We start from the raw sequence: 21,552 nt of genomic DNA on the forward strand, positions 1-21,552 counted from the left end.
ACACATTCTACTTTCCTTACACACCTTGCATGTAAAACTATTTTTCCAGTAGTCGCAAGTACATATTACAATGTTAACTCTTAGCAACTTTTATTGTTGGTGAAAACCTGGCGAGTAAGCAATTTTAACCATGTATAAGATTGCAGAACACATGACTTCCCAGCCTAGCCAGGGGGCCTGGCTAACTTCATATGTCCCCAGGCCTTACCTAGGATCTAATTGCTGTAAAACAGGCAAGTCAAGCAATTACTAAAAGTCGTAGAAGCAGTTTATGACCTTAAAACATCTAGCAAACAGTATCCGATCCCCCCAATTTAGACCAAATATCTAAATTTTGAAGATATTTTTATTTTACTTTACCAATAATCTTTAAGCTGTCTTTATTTTTCAAAGATTGTTAGAGACATTGTGACTTAAAAGGCATTAAAGTCTATTTTTCTGACAAAATATTTTATTTAAGTGCTTATCATTCTTAAGCCAATAAATTAGACCACTATCATATATTCTGGTAGCGAAACATCACACACATCATATATAAATACACAGATATGGAGATGATTTGGTAGGGTGACAAAAGATTAGATGCAAGAGGAAGGAGGAACAGACAGGAGCAGGTGCAGAATTAGACAGATATCCATCAACTGAGGAGGTTTTAGAGGCAGAGCAGGGGCTTTAAAACAATATCCATGCACATATAGTGCAAATATCAGCCTTAATTAAGTTGATTTCGAACTACAGAGCTCTCCAAAGGAGAATCATTTTAAAATATTTTATTACTAGATTTTAGTCAAGAGAAATGGCCAATATTTCTGGCTTTTGAATTCTTTTACCTCCTACATGAAATCAATAAGCCTTAACTAACGGTATGACTTTACCACAGGTGCATGAAGTATCTTCAATGAGACAGCAAGCGGTTTTTACAAGATCTAGAATTGCTCCAAAGGTAGCTCAGAGAAAAGAAAATTTCAAGACAGGAAATCAGAAGCTGTCCATGGAAGGGAAAAGAACCAATAAATGGCAAAAAGTCACACACATAGCGAATGGGAAAGGACTAATTACCTAAGCTGGGAATTGAACCCAGGCTGCCAGTGTGAAAGGCCAGAATCTTAGCTCCTGAACTATTGCACAAGGTGACGACTACTGCTTCTTCCCAGGAGTCTAGAGCAGTCATTTTTGAGCTTGCAAATGATTTTAACTATTCAAGAAAATTTAGACTAGATATAACACAATCATGTGTCCTTTTTAGTCTCAAGAGTCAAAGCCCTGTAACTTAACGGCGCAAGGACTTTAAAGACAATACAGAAACTTACATGGATACAATAACCTTTTTAAGTCCATAATTTGAATTAGCTTTTAAATAACTTTTGAATTAGACAAAATTTTTTTTTGTCAATAAGAACATATTTTCCTTGTCACATTTTCTATAAAACTAGGAAGCAAGAAATTCTTTTTTTGAAAAAGTGAAAGCAATTTTATTAAGAAAGTAAAGGAATAGCCGGCTGTGTGGCAGCCCGCGAGGCGGTCCGCGGGAGCACACTCTGTGCAGAGACTGGGCGGCCAGCCTGCCCTTGCTGTCGCTGACGGTGACTGCGGGAGGCCAGGTTGTTTTTCATCATTCAGAACATTGCCTGAAGCAGGTCCACCGTGCCGTTAGTAACGAGGAACATCGAGCCAAGGCACCTGTGCCGTCAGACGTTGCCTAGCGTTAGAAGCGAGCTGGAATGCGTGACCAACATCACCCTGGCAAATGTCATCCGACAGCTGGGCAGCCTGAGTAAATATGCAGAGGACATTTTTGGAGAGCTCTTTACTCAGGCAAATACCTTTGCCTCTCCGGTAAGCTCCCTTGCTGAGAGGGTCGATGGACTACAAGTTAAAGTCACTCAGCTGGATCCCAAGGAAGAAGAAGTGTCACTGCAAGTAATCAACACCCGAAAAGCCTTCAGAAGCTCCACCATTCAAGACCAGAAGCTTTTTGACAGAAACTCTCTCCCAGTGCCTGTCTTAGAAACATACAATACCTGTGATACTCCTCCCCCTCTCAACAATCTTACCCCTTACAGGGACGATGGAACAGAGGCACTCAAATTCTACACAGACCCTTCATACTTCTTTGATCTTTGGAAGAAGAAGATGCTGCAGGACACCAGGGATATCATGAAAGAGAAGAGAAAGCACAGGAAAGAAAAGAAAGATAATCCAAATCGAGGGAATGTAAACCCACGTAAAATCAAGACACGTAAGGAAGAGTGGGAGAAAATTAAGATGGGGCAAGAATTTGTGGAGTCCAAAGAAAAGCTGGGGCCTTTTGGGTATCCACCCACCTTGGTGTACCAGAATGGCAGCATTGGCTGTGTTGAAAACGTGGATGCAAGTAGCTATCCACCACCATCACAGTCAGACTCTGCTTCTTCACCTTCTCCTTCCTTCTCCGAGGACAACTTGCCTCCTCCACCAGCAGAATTCAGTTACCCAGTGGACAACCAAAGAGGATCTGGTTTGGCTGGACCCAAAAGATCCAGTGTGGTCAGCCCAAGCCATCCACCACCAGCTCCTCCTCTAGGCTCTCCACCAAGCTCTAAACCCGGGTTTGCTCCACCACCTGCCCCTCCACCACCCCCGCCTCCAATGATAGGCATCCCACCTCCACCACCGCCTATAGGATTTGGGTCTCCAGGGACGCCTCCACCACCCTCAAGCCCATCTTTCCCACCTCACCCTGATTTTGCTGCCCCTCCACCTCTTCCTCCACCACCGGCAGCTGACTACCCAACTCTCCCACCACCTCCCTTGTCCCAGCCAACAAGAGGAGCACCTCCTCCTCCCCCTCCTCCTCCTCCGGGGCCCCCTCCTCCCCCTTTCACTGGTGCAGATGGCCAGCCTGCTGTACCACCACCGCTTTCTGACACCACCAAGCCCAAGTCCTCCTTGCCTGCCATAAGCGATGCCCATAGCGACCTGCTTTCAGCCATCTGTCAAGGTTTTCAGCTGCGCAGGGTTGAGGAGCAGCAGGAACAAGAGAAGTGGGATGTCGTGGGCAATGACGTGGCCACCATCTTGTCTCGTCGCATTGCTGTTGAGTACAGTGACTCAGAAGATGACTCCTCTGAATTTGATGGGGACGACTGGTCTAATTAACTCTTTCTGCCTGATGCCCACCTTCTTTTTCTTTCCTTCCTACTTGCCTTCTTTGATGCCAACCCCAACAGACCCATAGGGGAGAAAAGGGAGGAAAAACCTAATTTTAAGGGGCCGAAGCTTTCCCTGAAGCAACCAAAGCTATATCCAAGTGCTTCCTCCAAGTCACATGTATTTCCTCTTCCCATTGTCAGGCCCTGTGGGGCTCCTGAGATTCAGTAGCTGGGATGTTCCCTCTTTCCTTCAAGTGCCTGTTGCATGTTTAAAGGAAGGAGAAATCCCAAAGCAGATTCCTTTGATTGGGTTTCCGTTGGAGATGGGGCCTTCCCTTAGGAGCCATATTCAACTACAGTCTTCTAAAACCTGTGCCCTCAGCCACTTCGAATAATGCCAGCCACCTTCTGGTTCTAAAGCAGAGGGAGTGGCCTGAATGGACACAGCTGGCCCCTTTCCCGTACACTGAAAGGGCAGAGCAGGCCTAAGGCTCCAACGGCCAAACTGCCTCACCCTCTGCCCTAATCAGCAGGGTGGGCCTGCCTTTTGCTAAGCGATCTCTATGCCTGGGATTCCCTTTATTCCAGGAGACATTAAGCCTCTAAAGAATGTCTCATCTCCTCTGCCCAAAAATGATGCTCTTCTGTAGGCTGGTGTTGTTGCTTCCCTCCCAGGATCCCTTTGGTGAGTGTGGTGTTCAGGATGCACCAGCACCACCTCTACATGCCTTCAGGCAACACGGCCCAGTTTTAACCTCTAGTATCCATGACCAAACTATCCCTGACACATAAGGACAGGGGCCTCTTCTGGCTGTCAGGAGCAAAGCCTGAAGACTTGGAGCTGCAGGACTGGAAGAACAGTGGAGCCCCGTGGGTCCCACCCTTTAAGGATGCTGAGGCCTAGAGATGGGAAGTGACTTGCTCAAGGTCACACAATTGGATAGTGACATAGCTAGAGCCCAGAGTTCCTGATTCCAAGTCACCTGTGCTTTCTGGGACCAAAGAATGGGCACCTGCTGGAGTCTTGGCAGAGCTTTCTTGGCTGTATTGCTACTCCAGACCTCATCATAGGTTGGGGTCCCAGTAGGAGGGCTCAGGGTCTGTGCCAGCCCTGTCAGTGCTGCTCAGACCTTCATAGCCTCTCTTGTCATTCTTTGTTGCCCCTTTTCTGTCACCAACCAACCACATAGCCTTGGGACCAGCCCCTCTGGGGGACCAGAAGTAGTGAGAGAAGGAAGGGGATAGGCAGCTTTGACAGGTGCTGTTTTCAATTCCTCTGCAACTCCTCCCCCTTTTATTTCCCCAATTTAAACAAAGATTCTGCCAACTGTGGAAACTTCAGTCCCTCAGGCTGGCAGCTGTGCTGGTACCTGCCTGGGGGGGCCTGGCAGTCGTGAAGCAGGCTGAAAGGCAGAGGGGCTCCAGGTCCTGTTTCCAGCTCCCCTCACTGCACATGGTGAAGCTCCCTCCCTCCCCACTTTTCCCAGAGCTAATACACAGGTGCTATTATTCAGAAAAAAACTGGTCAGCTCTAACCAACAGTGAGGTTTCTTCTCTTCTGCCCTAACTATTGTGTAGCCTCTTATGCTGAAATTGGCTTCTGCCGGCTTATCTGGCTTTCAGAGCCCTGAAACAAAGAGAAACAGGATCTGTCCCTACCCAGCACAGCAAATGGTTGTAGTAATTGCCAAAGCCCTCGTAAAGCCCTCCGGCTTGAGGAGACAGTGTATAGTCATGAGTTCTGCCTCTGTGCCCTTGCTGGCCGCTTCCCCTTTGCCTTCTTTCCTGGAACTCAGGGTGTGGGGACTGAGCCTGTAGGGGCCAGCAGGCCCTCCTGCTGTGGCCACTCCCAAGTGTGCCCTCTTCCCTCTCTCCAGATCAGGTGTCTCTAGCACAGGACTTGGCACCAAGCTCCATGCTGAGACACCAGGCTATGTGGGCCCCCACCTTGTTTCCCAGCCTGTACCTTGGAAGCCGAAGGTGCTTTCATCAGAATCCTAAAATGGCCGTTGAAGGCGCCTGGGCCGCAGCCCAGCAGTAGCTGGAGAGGCAGGCAGAGGGCAGTGGTTCTCCCAAATAGGAGACCTGGGGCCTGGCCAGGCCAGGGTTTGGGCCTAATGGCTTTGACTGAATTACCCCCATCCTCCTCCTTTCTGGAAAAGGGAGAGCTAGAGCCACTCACTGTCATTCTGCTCTGACCTTGAAGGGGGCGGTGTTGGCCTGGCTTCTGGAATGGACTGAGTCCATCGTGGAAAGGGCTGGGGGCAGGAGGAGGTGGGGAGGGGCACTGCCTGCGGAAGGTAGGATTAGATCATTAGCTCAGTGACCTCCTAGGGTTTCGATGTGCTGTGTTCTCATCCTACAGTTGGTTTGGTAATGATCTGCAAGTCCCGGAGAGCAACAGCAAAGCTCTGCCTGATGCTCTCATTAAAATCTATGCAGCCAAGCTCAGCACTTTGTCACAGCCGGCCTTGCGAAGCCTCCTCAGCTCGGGGGGCCGGGGACCCAGTGAGCTGGGAGGCCCTCTGGGCTCCACTTATGCATATGCACCAAAAAAAAAAAAAAAAAAAAAAGGCTTCTTTAGACCCAGAGCCCTTTAAGATGATAAAGGACCCAATGCAGGTAATCCTGTTTTTGGACTCATGTAATGTAGAATGCTAAATTTAGTGATTATTTAATCTGGGCCTAAGCTAGTGAGAGTGTGGAACAATGGCCCATAATGACTCCTAAGCGGTGAAGCCAGGGGGCCTCCTCCCTTCCTGGTTCACCCCGCCCAGGGGACCTGCTCCCATTCCTATGGCCCTGGGGCCCAGCTTCCAATAGTGTCAGAAGTGACTTGTGGCTTTGCCTTGGTTGTGAGATGGGTACATTCTAAAGGAGCAGCCCGGGGGAGGGGGCAGGCTTAGCCAGCCCTTGGAGGCTCAGAGCAGCTGGCCCAGGCTCCAGCTCGCCTCCAGTGGAAGCCCGAGCGCTGTCAGAAACAACCCTGGCCAATGTCACCGCAGAGCCGAGGCGGTGTTGTCAGGGCTAATGTGAAATCTCTTCCCGTGGCGCTGATCCTCCGACTCTGCAGCACCAGCTTGGACAGACTGAGGTCTCTGTGGCTTTGCTGACTCTGCTTAAGCATTCCCACCGGGTCCCAGCTCTGCTCTAGGACTGCCTCCCACTGCGGCCCCTCACCTGACCTCAGGGCATGGGGAGGGAGGGAGCCAGTTCCCCAAGGCCAGGGGACTTTGCTCCTGAGAGATGTCAGACTTCCTGGAGGCATCAGGCTTTGAGTTCTGCTGGGGTCCAGCTGACCTGGCACCAGGTGTCGCACAGAGATGTGCCTCATTCTGTGCCTCCTGCCGTGTTCACTTTAACTGTGCCTCAGTGTGGGTTAGGGAATAATTTTGTCATTGTATTAAGTTTATCCAGTTAATTAACTTGAGGAACTAACCAATTTTTACCTTCTGTCTAGAATGATGTACATGTAGTAGAGTAAGCCATAATGCTCCCAAAGTGCCTTGTTTTCTCTGATACAAACGTATTTATAAGGACGTATTCCAGTGGGTTCTTGGGTGTGTTTGCCACAACAAGATTTTAGGGAAGGGGTGTATGTGTAGTAGGGATGCCGTTTGAAAACAGGCCCTCTTCCCCTGAGGAAGGGAAAGGAACTCTTCAGTTGGAGATCTGGGCAGTGGGTTAAGCCAGACCCCTAAAGTGACCCTTTCCTCTTCTGCCCTATTCTTCTCAGACCCTCCGAAAGACATCCAATTTTTTTAAAGCCCTGTAGCTCCAAGCCTGGTCTCATTTGCTTCCCTGCCAGGCTCATTGTGTGTATACCACATTTGTGCCCCACTGACCTGAAGGTTCCATGTAACTGTATACACATGAATACTTAAATGCCAACATTTTAAATAATTTGATAAAGTCTTTGTAGCCACAAAAAAAAAAAAAACGTAAAGGAATAAAGAATGGCTACTTCATGGGTAAGAGCAGTGGCATGGGCTGCTCGACTGAGTATATTTATAGTTATTTCTTGATTATATGCTGTATTAATCCGTTTTCACACTGCTATAAAAGAACTTCCCTGAGACTGGGTGATTTATAAAGGAAAGAGGTTTAATTGACTCAGTTTTGCGTGGCTGGAGAGGCCTCAGGAAATGTATAATTATGGCAGAAGGGGAAGCAGGCACCTTCTTCACAAGATGGCATGGGAGAAAAGAGCAGGGGAAACCGTCACTTATAGAACCATCAGATCCTGTGAGAACTCACTCACTACCACGAGAACAGCATGGGGGAAACTGCCCCCATGATCCTGTCACCTCCCACCAGGTCCCTCCCTTGACAGGTGGGAATTATGGGGATTACAATTAGAGATAAAATTTGGGTGGGGACACAGAGCCAAACCATATCATATGCTAAACAACGGGTGGATTATTCATGAGTTTTCTGGGAAAGGGGTGGGGATTTCCCAGAACTGAGGGGTCCTCCTCTTTTTAGACCATATAGGGTAACTTCCAGACATTGCCATGGCATTTGTAAACTGTCAAGGCACCGGTGGAAGTGTTTTTTAGCATGCTAATGGATTATAATTAGCGTATAATGAGCACTGAGGATTACCAGAGGTCACTTTCGCTGCCATCTTGGTTTTGGTGGGTTTTGACTGGCTTCTTTACTGTATGCTGTTTTATCAGCAGGGTCTTTGTGATCTGAATCTTGTGTGGACATTTTATTTCATCCTGTGAGATAAGAATGCCTAACCTCCTGGGAATGCAGCCCAGTAGGTCTCAGCCTTATTTTACCCAGCCCCTATTCAAGATGGAGTTACTCTGGTTCGAACACCTCTGACATATTCCCCCCTCCCTTTTACAAGGGAACCCTTAATCCTAGCAATTGTAGAGGGACAAAGATCCATCTTCTGTAATTTTCAGGCCAAACAGGGCGATGACATTCCTGCCTAACTACTGGGGTGTCTTGTATCCAGGGTAGAGAGGAGCTCAGTGAGAAAACATCATTACACTGAGGGCCATTCATAACTCCGACTTCTGATCAAAGGTGATATCTGGAAGATTGGTATGTGTTCAATTTAAGAAAACATTGAGTAAGCTTACCTATCCAGCATTTCTACACAGAATACAGCAGGAATATATTCCACAACAGTAAAGTAAAATAAGCAAAATTATTCTAAGTAAATGAAAAAAATAAGGCATTCAATGAACTGGGCAGCTGTTGGGACCAAACTGATATGGGGTTGCTAGCCAATTCCAATATGTGCCCAGAATTAGAATATTGATCCAGATTTCTACAGTACCCATCCCTCTTGTTTCTTCTGAGCTCCAGTTAAAGATCACTGGTTGATTCACAGGAATAAGTAGGGTTAGTCTAAATTGCAGGAAAAAAAAAAACAAAAACAACTGATGAGACTAGAATCTAATAACAGGTGTGCCATAGTTCTTGAAACATAATTTTTCTCTTTCCAGTCTTCATTTTTATTAAAAACAAATCATAATAGGGCTAATTTGTTTATAAAATCAGCTTTAGTCTTATACTTGGCCTGTTTATTTGTATAAAGTGCAGCAAGAATAATTATTTTCACATAGGCTTTTTAAAAATTGGCTTTGATGAAACTTCGTTCCATAAAGAATCTCAGATAAGACCTTTTTTAAAGCTGAGCCCCAGCCATGGGTTTGTACTGTCAAATGCCTATACGAGTCAGGTAAATTCCTCTCCTCTTGAGGTTCCATAATTTTGGAACACATACCAATAACATATTTATTATAAATAAATAAATAAATAAATAAAACCTTTACTCATTAATACAGGGAAGACTTAGTTTTCCAAACAATCTGTTTCTTTCCTTTCCTCTCTTTTTACTATAATTTATTCAAAAGGCAAACAAGAATCTTTCAATATTTTTAATATAACATGAAAATCTTGTTCAAGAGAGAAAGACAATTTCACCCTTTGCATTGGTGTGCTATTAATGTCAACCCCAATTCTTAATAAAACCTTATAGACAAATCTATCCAATTTTCATGCCTGACCGTAAGGTAAGAGTCTCATAAACTTTTTATAACCCTTTACAGATTTTTGTTAAAGAACAGATCAGTGCTCTAAGAAAAACCTATTGTGCTTTTATTCCAATGTTCAACTTATGAAAAAACTGAATACCCCTTTAACTTTAGCCAGTGTTCACACATAGAATTTCTTTTACAAGATTAATCCTTCATAAACCTTCCATAAGTTGCTCAAAAGTTTAGCTTTTTCCTATCAAACTTAAAACAAGACTTTAACCCTTTAATCTAGGCAAAAAAAAAAAAAAATCCACATTCCCATGCCTTCTTATAATCTTTTACCAAAAACACATTTTACTTTCCTTACACACCTTGCATGTAAAACTGTTTCCTCAGTAGTTTCAATTACATGTTACAATATTAACTCTTAGTAACTTTTATTTTTGGTGAAAAACTTAGTAAGTAAGCAATTTTAATTATGTACTAGGTGTGGGGCTTAGGACACCAGACAGAAGTGCAGATAAAGTCTGACTCTTTTCAGCATTGCTAGGGGTTATGGCTAACTCCACATGTCCCCAGGCCTTATGTAGAAACTAATGGCTCTAAAGCAGGTAAGTTGAACAATTTTCAAAAGTCAAAGAAATAACTTATGACCTTAAAGCATTCATCAAACCTAATATCTGACCTGCCTAATTTAGACCAAATGTCTAAATTTTGAAGACATTTTTATTTTACCAATAATCTTTAAAACTATCTTTATTTCTCAAAGATTACTAAAGTTATGTGAACTAAAAGGCATTACAGTTTTTATTTTTCTAACAAAATATTTGATCACACATCACACACACACACAACACATATAAATACACAAACAGTCAGAAGATTCTGTAGTTGTAAGATTTTTCATTTGCCAGTTTTTGTTTCTCAATTGGATTACTGGCTTCAGGGTAGAGCCCTTTGAGGAACAGGGCCAGGAAACCATTCAGTTTCAAGGGCCTAGTAAGCAGGCACAGCTGGAAGGCAAAACAGATCCCCCAAAATTAAGGGTCCCATTTTTATACCAGATCTTAGATCCCAAAGAGGAGGGAATCAGTCCATCTCCCATAAAAGCCCATAACTGCCATTAGCCAGCCCTAAAAGTATATTTCCTACTTAGTAATTAGACACCAAAGTTCTCTCATAATGCGAAGTAATTTCTGATACCCCCAAATGTCAAAAACATCAGACAACACAATGTAAAACAGAACAGGGCCTTAGATTTTGGGAGAGATCTATCCACTTTCAATTCCTGGGGTTTCATGAGGAAAACAGAGGTTTTTCCCCAAACAGCGTGTGTGGCACCTCCTCTGTTTTCCCCAAAGAGTCCCAGCCTGTTAGAAATTTTCTTAGGTCCTCTCATGTATGCATCAAGAGTGGCAAGAAAACAAAATGGAGAAAAATGACTTTTCAGTTGACTGAAAAGAAAAACTTTTTCTCAAGAAAAACAAGATTTGAGAAAAAACCATAAAGGCCTTTTCAATATACCCATAGCTTGAATATCCACTTTTAATTAAGCTGACTTTTAACCATAGTGCTCTTTTTAAAAAAGTCTTTTAAAATTTCTTATTATCCAACTTTTAGCCAAGAAAAATGGTCAATATTTCTGGCTTTTGAACTTTACCAAAGATAACTTCCCAGGTGCTCAGAGAAAGGAAAATTCAAGAGGGAAGTCAGAAGTTGTTCATGGAGAGGAAGAGAATCAACAAGTGGCAAAGGTCACACAGATATCAACCAAAAAGTACTCATTCCCTAGACCGGGAATTGAGAGCCTGGGCTACCACTGTAAAATGGCAAAGCCTTAGCTACTGAGCTACAGCACTGAGCAGTTTTCATTGCTCTTCCTAGGAATCTAGAGTCAGCCAATTTTGAGCTTGCAAAGGTTTTTAACTGCTCTGGATAATTTTTAAGGCTAACTATAACATGAACTCCAAAATTCCTGTTCCCTTGATGGTGGAGACCAAGAGAAAGTACCACCCACCTGGTTACAAAGTCAAGCTCCCAAGGACATAAAACAAGATGAGAGGGAAACTTCATCCAGTTTTTTTTGTTTGTTTCACAGGTCTACAACCAGGAGTTTCAACATGTGGTCTTTGGGCAGGATGGTTGCTCTGAGTAACAGAAAATATAGGAAAGGGAAAGGAGAGAAAGAGAGAGAGGGCCAGGCACAGTGGCTCACACCTGTAATCCCAGCACGTTGGGAGGCCGAGGCTGGTGGGTCACGAGGAAGAGATTGAGACCATCCTGGCCAACATGATGAAACCCCGTCTCTACTAAAAATACAAAAAAACTAGCTGGGCATGATGCGCACACCTGTAGTCCCAGCTGCTTGGGAGACTGAGGCAGGAGAATCACTTGAACCCGGGAGGCAGAGGTTGCAGTGAGCCGAGATCGCGCCATTGCACTCCACCTGGCCACAGAGCAAGACTCCGTCTCAAAAAAAAAAAAAAAAAAGAGAGAGAGAGAGAGAAAGCATTCCCTGCGGTGGGGAAGGTGAAGAGCTCAGGGAGGCCAGAGAAAGACCTACTCATTGAAGCAACACTGAATCAAAAGTTCAAATGGCCACTTGTCAGTTGTGAAGGGATCTTTTCCAGCAGTCCCATCAGCTCTCAAGTTTCCCCTTTTGGGAAGGAAAAAGTTCCCCATGTTCCACGGTCTTGTATATGCCTAATCCTGTCACCCACAGTCGTCAGCAAAGAGTATAAGACAGATTAATCCGAAGAGAATAGCGGTGGCATTAATCCATAATGCCAAATTCATTTTTAACCAAGAGGGACTTTACTGAGAGGGGCCTTTAACCCTCTAAATCTTAGGAAGGACTCTAACCTTCCTAAATTGGGCCTGAGACCCAAGTTTGGTCAAGAAGCCTTGCCTTTTATTAAGATGGGCCTTTAACCCTCTCTATCTTAGGAGAGTCTATCCTAAGTTGGGCCTCTAACTCAATCCCACCCTTTACCCAGGTAAAATATACCCCACCACTTACCCAAAATCAGCCAGTTGGTGCTGCAGTCTATTTCCTCTGGATCAGGGGGTCTCCTCAGTAGAGTCCCTTTGTGGTTCACCAGGAAGATGTTAGTGGAAAGGGGTCCCAATCCAGACCCCAAAAGAGGGTTCTTGGATCTCACACAAGAAAGAATTCAGGGCGAGTCCACAGAGTAAAGTGAAAGTTTATTGAGAAAATAAAGGGATAAAGAATGGCTACTCCATTGGCACAGCAGCCAGAAGCAAGAAGTTCTGAACTGCCTATCAGATATTACCATTTTATAAATGAGAACCAGTCCATAATTTTGGAACATGTTTCCTATATAATAACCCTTTCTTAGTTGGAAATGACCCAGACATTCAACAAGCATCTACAATGATTTTAAGAACTTAAATCATACAAAAAAGTTTTACTTAGAAGCATTTATCTCATTTATATGCATATAATTCTCCCATTTTTAACCGTTTACTTAGATTACTTCTGAAAACTGAGATCTTACCACAGAGGTAGTCATTATTGAAAGTTAATTCCCTGTTAACCATTTTAAAGCTTGTGAACATCATGTGTTCATCTAAGTAAGAACCTTAAAGTTAAAACACATAGGCATTTTGTTGATAACTCAGAAGGTTTAGCTATTTTCCTCAAACAATATTAAATGTCTTATCAAAAATTACACAAAGATCATTCTGTCTTGGGCTGGGTTTATAGTTTTGTAACTCTTATGCCAAATTTTGGCACCTAATGATATCTGGCAGAGATAAATATGAAACCGCTTGATCAATAAACTCAAATGAAAATGTATGTTGACAATTCTTAAGATATTTATAATATTATTTTACCAATAATGTAAAGCCAGCTTATTTATTAAAGATTTTACTTAATTTATGAGTACGTCTTAACTCTAAGGAATTTGGTTCCTTGTGACCACAATACATAACAAAATACATGTACATATGCATAAACACACACATACACACTCATATTAAGCAGGCCGAAAATAAACAGAGGAAGATATCACCTGGCTGCCTTCTGCAAGGGTGGCATGAGGTAGGGGGAGAGAGGGGAAGAAAGAGATGAGAGAATAAAGCAATGGAAAGGGAGCTCAGGAGCCCTCCTGCAGACATTGAGTGGTGTGAGGTTGATACTTCCACCACCATCATTTATCTCCCATCAGGGAGAGCCTCAGCACCCTAAGTCTGCACAGTGTGGGATGGGTTCCTCCTACTTCTGCAAGTCACTGGTCAGGCAAACTGTTTCCAGCCAGAGGGAGCTAGAGCTGCCTGCAGCTGAGAAGAGTAAAGCTGTAAGCGGCTCTCCAAAGATAGAAGGGTGAAGTTGGAGGTAGAGAGGAAAGAAATCAGGGCCCATACACAAAGTCATATATTCATATATGCAAATAGACAGCATGCTTCCACATGAGTCCCCAACCAAGGGGGCTGGGTGAGGTCCTGAATCCCTCTCCCCAGTTCCAAATGGCTCCATGGGCTGTTAAGTCCAGTCCGAGCACAGGTCCCATGGTGCCGCACATACAAATAAATACAAATGCATTAAAATGCTCAAATGATGTCACTAACAGCCAGGTCTTAAGTAGAGCAGGGCTTCAGTGACACCCCAAAAGAGACAGAGGGTGGTCAGGTGCACTGCCAACCAAATTACCCAGTTCCAAAGTTTGTCAGCTCTTTCTCTTTTTCTCCCAGAATTCATTTCCCTTGCACAGGCAATGCATTGAAGGCAGCAAATGTTGTGCTGGGAGTGGGGAGCAAAAGGGAAATTTCCCCATAAGAAAGCATTTTTTGCAGCTGCTGGGAAGCTCCCTAATGCTTTCATCGTGGGACCTGATAGCCATGAGCAGCTGGCACTCACAGGTGACCCCATGTCTCATCTGATAGCGAAATTGGGTGATCAGGCAGAAGCCTACCTGGAGCACAGAGCATGTCCCTGTATGGGCCACCAAAAATTGCAACCAAAAAGTGGGTTAGTTGCTTGCTGAATGTAGAGTCCAATTAACAAGAGTGAGTCCTGGTACTTTCCAGAAAAGTGATTTTATTTCCAAAGCTAGTTTGGGGGAGTGCACAAAGTGTCCAGCTTTAAATGTACTGCTTCACCTTTGGAAGAAAAAGTGGGCATTTATATAATGTAGGGGAGGAAATGAGCAAGGGCAGGGCTCTTCTGCTAGCCTTATCTGTACCTTATCTACTGGGCCGTTGTGTTGCCACCTTCCTGGGCAGAAGTAAGTTGTAAAAGTGGCTAAGTGGGCATGCTCTGGGCATGTCCTCCTGAGGCAACACCCTGGAGGTGGGAGTTCCCTCTTGGAGCACACAGATGAACTTGCCCTGTAGGAAATGCCTGGAGAGGGGGAGGTGAGAAGTTATTTTGCACTTGAAAAAGGGCTAAATGGAAAGTAGGAGGAAAGGGGAAAGGCGAAAAGAGAAAAAAACTGTTGCTTAGGAAAACGGGAGTACTCAGTTACAGTTGTGAAACTGCCTTTGCAAAAATTATATCAGTGAGCAAATTATGACAGTGAAAGAGATCTGATCTAGCCCACCATCCCTCTTGCCTTTTCCTTAATTATTCCTGGGCTTTGGGGCTGAACTAACTTTGGAAGATATTTAGGTTATGGTTTAAATGATAATAGCTCTTTCCCAAAAATCATTGTAAAGCTAATGGAAGGCCATCAGGCTAGGGGTTGGAGAGGAACCTGATTCTGCTAAGTTTTAGACATAGATTGCCAGCCATTCCTGCAGATAACACCACTACTGTAGATTGGCCTTTTGAGATATCTTTTCAGGTTTTTTGCATGTCTGACACCCATGGCTCCACCTAGACTCACCAATCCCACTCATGTGGCCCCACCCTGAGGCAATTCAGCATGCAGGAGGACAGCTTTCACCTCCTATGATTTCATCTCTGCCCCAACCAATTAGCAGCAAGCCTAGCCACCCCCACTGCTTCCCCCAAACTGCCTTTGAAAAACCCCCAACCTACAAGCTTTGGAGGAGATTGATTTGAGTACTATAATAACTCTGTCTATTATATGCCGTGGCCCGCCTTGTGACTATTAAACTCTTTTTTTTTTTTAATAGACACTGAGTCTCGCTCTGTCGCCCAGGCTGGAGTGCAATGGCGTGATCTCAGCTCACTGCAACCTCCGCCTCCCAGGTTGAAGCGATTCCCCTGCCTCAGCCTCCTGAGTAGCTGGGACTACAGGTGTGCACCACCATGCCCAGCTAATTTTTGTATTTTTAGTAGAGACGGGGTTTCACCATGTTGGCCAGGATGGTCTCAATCTCCTGACCTCGTGATCTGCCCGCGTCGGCCCCCCAAAGTGCTGGGATTACAGGTGTGAGTCACCACACCTGGCCTAAACTCTTTCTTTACTGCAATACTGTGGTCTTTCTTTGTGCAGTGGGCAGGAAGAACCCCTCAGGTGGCTACAGTTGCACAACAATGTGAATATACTTAACGCTACTGAACTATAAACCTCGAAATGGTTAAGATGCTAAATTTTATGTTATGCATTTTTTACAATAAAAAATGGGATGTTACAATAAAAAATGGGATGCAACATATGCTCACCTTTGGGTGGTCCCCAGGTGTGCATACGTTGTGGCTGTACATGCTAGTATATATGTTACATGTCTTACATCTCCACCCAGGGGTGTGTGTGTATATATATGTATATATATTTACTATTAAAATGAGCAAAACGTTACCTTGAGGGCAAGCCAAGTTGAAGTGCACATGCTTACTGCTGGGGAAAGTCCCTACTGAAGTTATGTCCTGCCAGGGCCAGATAAGTCCCAGTTAGGGCCAGATAAGCCTAACTGCAAGTCCAGATATGGCCATTGTTTTTTCTGATTGCTAGTGGGGTAAGGTTTCCAGGGCTTCCTTACTTTGAGGCTGCCTTTCCTGCTCATGTCTGTCTGTCTGTCTGTCTGTCCTGCTGTCTATCTATCTATCTATCTATCTATCATCTATCTATCATCTATCTATCTATCTACTCTAACATCTGGAGGTTTTTTTTTTTTGTCTTGTGGATGGAAAGATCTTAAATAAAATTTTAGCAATTTGAATCCAGCAAGTATGGAAAGAAAAATTTACCCCATGACCAAATTGGATTTTCCAGTAAGGCTGTTGATGGTGATTGTGAGTCCTCAGTTCTTGTCTTCTTGGTTTAAAGAATTTAAGCAAGAGACACACAGCAAGGGAGATACAGCCATAAACCAGTTTATTACAAAATTGAAAGAGCACTCTGAGAGCTGAGTCAGAGTGGGCTGCTCAAGAGTGAGACACCCCTGGCTGACACTAGGGAAGCTCCCTTTAGGGGAGTTTTACATGATTATTCTTAAGAGGGTGGGAAAGGGCATTGCTAGTAAGTATGTTATGGGTGGTCCTCTAGGTGCACATGTTCGGTAACTGTACATGTTTGTTCATACATCACATCTCATTAGCATCTTAAATCTCCACCCAGCAGTGTGTTTTTCACTAGTATAATGAGCAAAAAGTCAGTCCAAGGACAAGTAAAATTAAAGTGCATGCTTTCTACTGGCTGAAGTCCCCACTGAAGTTAGGTCTTGCCTAAGCCAGAGGAGCATGACCACAAAGCAAGCATTGTGTTAACACATCCTGATAGACATGGCTACTTTCTTGACTACGTCTCCTACTTCAACTTCAAGGTAAAGATGGTTAATGTTAATACATCTATCTGTTTATTTCACTACATCAAGAAATAAAGGAGAAAACGACAAAATCACATCAATGGATACTAAAAAAGCATTTGACACAATTTGGCAGTATTCTCAAACTAAAACCAGACTAAAATGGGAATATGAAAATTCAGAAAAGATTACAGGCTCAAAATCACCAGGAAGCCTATTACTAAAAGGTAAAATGCTGAAGTTGCTACCAGTAAAACTAGTAATGACATACAGTTGTTCCTATCACAACGGTGTTTTGAAAAAGCTCTAGCTAATGCGATGAAATATGAAGATAAAATAAACTGATTATATATTAAGAAAGGAGAGGTAATCATTTTTATTTGCAGATGATATCATTGGAAGGGTGTTCATGCTATACAGTGAAAGAAGTTGTGGCTTCCCACCTCACAGAGCAGAACAGTGGTGCTTCCCTGGGAAGAAATGGCCTGCACTGCTGTTAGAGTAGGTAGATAGGCAGATATGAGCAGAAGAGGATAGGGCCCCAAAGAGTGTCAAGTGACTCTCAGTTGACTGTCAGGTGGTTGTCAGGTGGCTGGTAACAGGGAGGGGAAAATTTCCTAACAAACAAGAGACATCTTGAGCTTGTTGGCAACAATTTCCCAATAAGAACTTAAAATGGCAAAGTTTGATCTTCCTCTGGGAACATGTCCAGGCATGCACAGTAAGGGGCAAAATGGTGGAGTCTGACCTATATATGATCTTCCTCCAGGGGCACTAGACCAGTAAGTGAAAATTGCCCTAAGACAGCATGCACATAACTTCAATAATTAAATGGCTCATGCCGCCCCTCCCAGATACTGGCAAGTCACTGTGCCTGTGGTGATTAGCCAACAGCCTATCCAAGAGGAAGGATGAGACTGGGAAGAATCAGGAAATAGTAACTCTATATTATAATTATTATATAAGAGCCCTGAGCCAACAATCAGGTGGGGCGTTCCATCTTTTGAGTTGCTTGCTTGGTTCCTTTCAAGTGTACTTTGCTTCAATAAACTCTCATTTCTGCCTTAAATCTACTTCTGTTTCTCAGCTGAATTCTTTCTCTCAAGAAGACAAGAATTGAGGACTGTAGACCCTGCCCAGACTCACTGCCAGTAACACTTCTTTGGGTAGACTTCCTGGTGGACAGATTCATCCTCTCCTTGGTGATACTACTGGATGTGAAAGGATGCAGTGGGAGTGGTACAGTCCCCATCCAGGAGATACCATGAGGAGAGAGGGGAGATAAATCAGAGTGGTACTGTCCAGTCCCACTGTGTTGGTGATGGGAGGAGAGCGATGTGGTTGGAGTAAGAACCTAAACATCCTCATAATCTCCATCAGCTCCCCCACAAGCCATCTCAACTGAAATAATAATAGGTATCAATTAAATAAGTCTTAAGTTGATATGGCTACTAGTTGTTTTCTTTAATATGTGTCAACAAAAACATCTTTTAGAAAATTTTATTGTTCATAATTCCTATGGAAGCATAGCATTAAGACACATTTCTGACCCTGCCCCACAACCAGTTTGCTGCCTCTTAGCACCTCAAATAGAAAATTATGGAGATGCCAGTGCCCCTCTGGGAGATGTCAGAGGGGCAGAGGTAATAAGAATCCATATATCCCCTCAATGGATGAACTGCTACATATTCTGCAACACCCAGTTCAAGTACCTCCTATGAGAAGCCCTACCTGACTGTGGTAGGAGACTCTATGCTAGCTGAAGAACCTTTTGACCCAGCAAGTAGGGAAGACTTTTTTAAAGGGCTTGTTCCTAAGCTCTGGTGTCCTCTATCTTTGTGCCCTCAGATCAGTCACACCCTTTTTGGAGCCCAGTTCAACATTCTAGACATTAGAGGGTTAGAATCTAATTATCACATAGTTCCCTGTCTTTCCTACAGCCCTGGATTGGATAATTTTTTATTTGGTGAATGATATGGTTTGACTGTGTCCCCACCCAAATCTCATCTTGAATTATAGCTCCCATAATTCCCATGTGTTGTGGAAGGACCTGGTGGGAGATAATTGAATCACAGGGGCAGTTTCCCCCATATGGTTCTCATGGTAGTGAATAAGTCTCGCGAGAGCTGATGATTTTATAAGGGGTTTCCCCTTTCACTTGTCTCTCATTCTCTCTTGTCTGCCACCATGTAAGACGTGCCTTTTGCATTCCGCTTTCCACCATGATTGTAAAGCCTCCCCAGCCACATGGAACTGTGAGTTCATGAAACCTCTTTTTCTTTATAAATTACCCAGTCTCAGGTATGTCTTTATCAGCAGCATGAAAACAGACTAATATAGTGAACAAATAAAAGAAGAAATTGAATCAGTGGAAGCTTGCTAACACACGTATACATATCTAAAAATGTTTCAGGCACAGGAGAGGAAGAGGAGAAAAAGAAAAGGAAAGTATCCTAATGTTATGTTAGAGGTTTATACTGAAGTGTATGGATGAAATGATATGAAGTCTGGTATTGGCTTTAAAATACTCAACCAATGGGGCTGTTTAACTAGGGGTGGAGAAGTGAGGAAATAAAATAGAACGTTGATAACTGTTGCAGCTGAGTTTTGGGTACATAGGAAGTCACTATTCTATTTGATCTACTTTGGTGTATATATACAAAAAGTTTACAGTGAAAAGGTTTTAAATGAAGAAAAGAAATGGATGGAAATATTCACAAGTAACAATATTAACATTAGACAAAATATATTTTGAAGTATAGAATTTAAAAAGGGATAAACAGAGGAAGTTCTTAATTTAAAACCATGCAAGCCACCAAGAAGACGCACCAATCGTGAGCATTTATATGTGTGTGTATGTGTGTGTGTGTGTGTATGTACTTTTGAAATACATAAAACAAAAACTGACACAAATGGGGAAAATTTTGCGAGTATTCAGTTACAAAGGAAGAATAATATATCTCACAGAAACTGACAAGATCAAATAGATGAAATATGTAAGACACAAAGACTGGAATAATACAATCAATAAACTTGGTATTTGATATAGCTATATTCAATCTTTATTTTGTACTCAAGAGAATGCACATGTTTTAAACATGAACAAGACACCCTTAAAAATCCTTGCACTAGTGCAACAAAATAATAAATCTTTAAAATGATATCACAAGGCAATATTCATAACCCACAATGAAATAAAAATGGAGGTAAAAGCAAAGAGACAATAAATATTTCAAATACCTGGACATTAAAAGCACTCACATACAATTAATACTTGGGTTAAGGAGGAAATTAAAATGGATTACCAACTACCTAGTATTATGAGAGCGCTACATATAACATCTATGGGCTGGGAAAATTAATATACTTAAGATTATTTATATCATAAAATGCATTTATTAGTAAGCAAGAAATTCTGAAGATGAATTATCTAAACTTTTACTACACACTGTAGGAAAGGAAAATGAAATACCCACAAAGGAAGTAAGTAAATGTTAAAAACAGAAATTAATAAAATAATGAGCAAAACATTACTAATCAGGGAATTGCCTATTGAGAACATAATGAAATACTCTCTTATATCCATTCATTTGGTAAAAATAAAGCAGTTGGGCAAGATTAAATGTTGGTAAGGATCTCTTATACAGTTTTGGTGGGAATGTAAATTAGGGAAACCACTTTGGAAAGAAGTTTAGCATTTCCTTCTATAATTGGACATTCATACACCTCATCACACGGCAAGTCCACTCCCAGAAATAGCCCCAAGAGAAGCTCTTGCCCAGGTGCCCCACAAAATATGTAAAAGGACATTCATGAAAGCCTATTCATGTCATAAAAACCTGGACACAAACCAAATGCTCACCAAACGAGTAAAAATGAACAAACTACAGTAATATTTAACAACACAAAGGGATGCTAAGTGAAAAAGTGTAAATTGCCAAAGATTATATAAAGTATGATACATTCATTACAACATTTTATTATGAACATTTTGGGACATAAAGAAAAGCTAAAAGAATTTTAAAGTGAGTATGCACAAAACCACAACCTAAAAATCTATAACAAATATTTCAGTATATTTGCTTTATCTCATATCTATTCATACACATATCTTTCTTTTCATTCATCAACGCATCTTCTTTTTTTGATGCATTTCGAATTATGTTACAGTCATCAGCACACATCACCCCTAAAGTTTCAACATGCATATCATAAACTACAGTTTAGTATTTGTCTATATTCTAAGGCAAAATTTACACACAGTAAAACACACAAATCTTATGTGCACTATTTGATGAGATTTAACAAGTGAACACAGACTTCTAGTTTCAGCTCTGACATGTTAAGAGCTTGGAAGTAATCACTCCCATCCTTGCAAAAATAATAAAGGCTGAACAAACTGAAACTCAATGACTTTTCATAGGCCGTCAGAGAGTTTAGGTCACAAGGCAAACTGCCACCCCCAAATCTGGAGAGACAGACAAATACAGAGAATCACAGCTGAGATCAGCTTACTTTACCTGGAGCAGAAGCTGCTGGATCCCTAAGCAGATAGGAACACTTCACTGGTGATTTTGACAAATTGCTAGAGGCTGAATATGAATAGCTTGAGAATGAGAAACCTCTTATGGAGGTCTCACGCTTTCCTGGGTTTTACCTCCAGAAAGCCAAGAAGGTCCTCAGATGAAGATCTAAAGACAATCCCCTCACGTTTCTGGCAAGAGGAGGGCAGGAGGGTAAGAGGG

At 42.8% G+C, this 21,552-nt stretch overlaps 1 pseudogene, besides 3 other annotated features; it reads left to right on the forward strand.

Moving 5' to 3' along the window:
* WASF4P (WASP family member 4, pseudogene) lies at positions 1,496 to 5,882 on the forward strand (annotated as a pseudogene).
* Positions 4,761 to 5,391: an enhancer, noted in NCBI's record as "H3K27ac-H3K4me1 hESC enhancer chrX:47665811-47666441 (GRCh37/hg19 assembly coordinates)". NCBI's record gives its function as "activates a minimal SCP1, AML or CMV promoter by ChIP-STARR-seq in primed H9 embryonic stem cells {active_cell/tissue: H9 hESC(primed)}" and the evidence as "EXISTENCE:reporter gene assay evidence [ECO:0000049][PMID:30033119]".
* Positions 13,987 to 15,186: an enhancer, noted in NCBI's record as "MED14-independent group 3 enhancer chrX:47675037-47676236 (GRCh37/hg19 assembly coordinates)". NCBI's record gives its function as "activates an origin of replication core promoter dependent on BRD2, BRD4, P300/CBP and CDK7 cofactors, and independent of MED14, by STARR-seq in HCT116 cells {active_cell/tissue: HCT116}" and the evidence as "EXISTENCE:reporter gene assay evidence [ECO:0000049][PMID:35650434]".
* Positions 14,054 to 14,675: an enhancer, noted in NCBI's record as "OCT4-NANOG-H3K27ac hESC enhancer chrX:47675104-47675725 (GRCh37/hg19 assembly coordinates)". NCBI's record gives its function as "activates a minimal SCP1, AML or CMV promoter by ChIP-STARR-seq in primed H9 embryonic stem cells {active_cell/tissue: H9 hESC(primed)}" and the evidence as "EXISTENCE:reporter gene assay evidence [ECO:0000049][PMID:30033119]".

Source organism: Homo sapiens, chromosome X (assembly GCF_000001405.40).
Source record: "Homo sapiens chromosome X, GRCh38.p14 Primary Assembly".
In the NCBI taxonomy this organism is placed as follows: domain Eukaryota; kingdom Metazoa; phylum Chordata; class Mammalia; order Primates; family Hominidae; genus Homo; species Homo sapiens.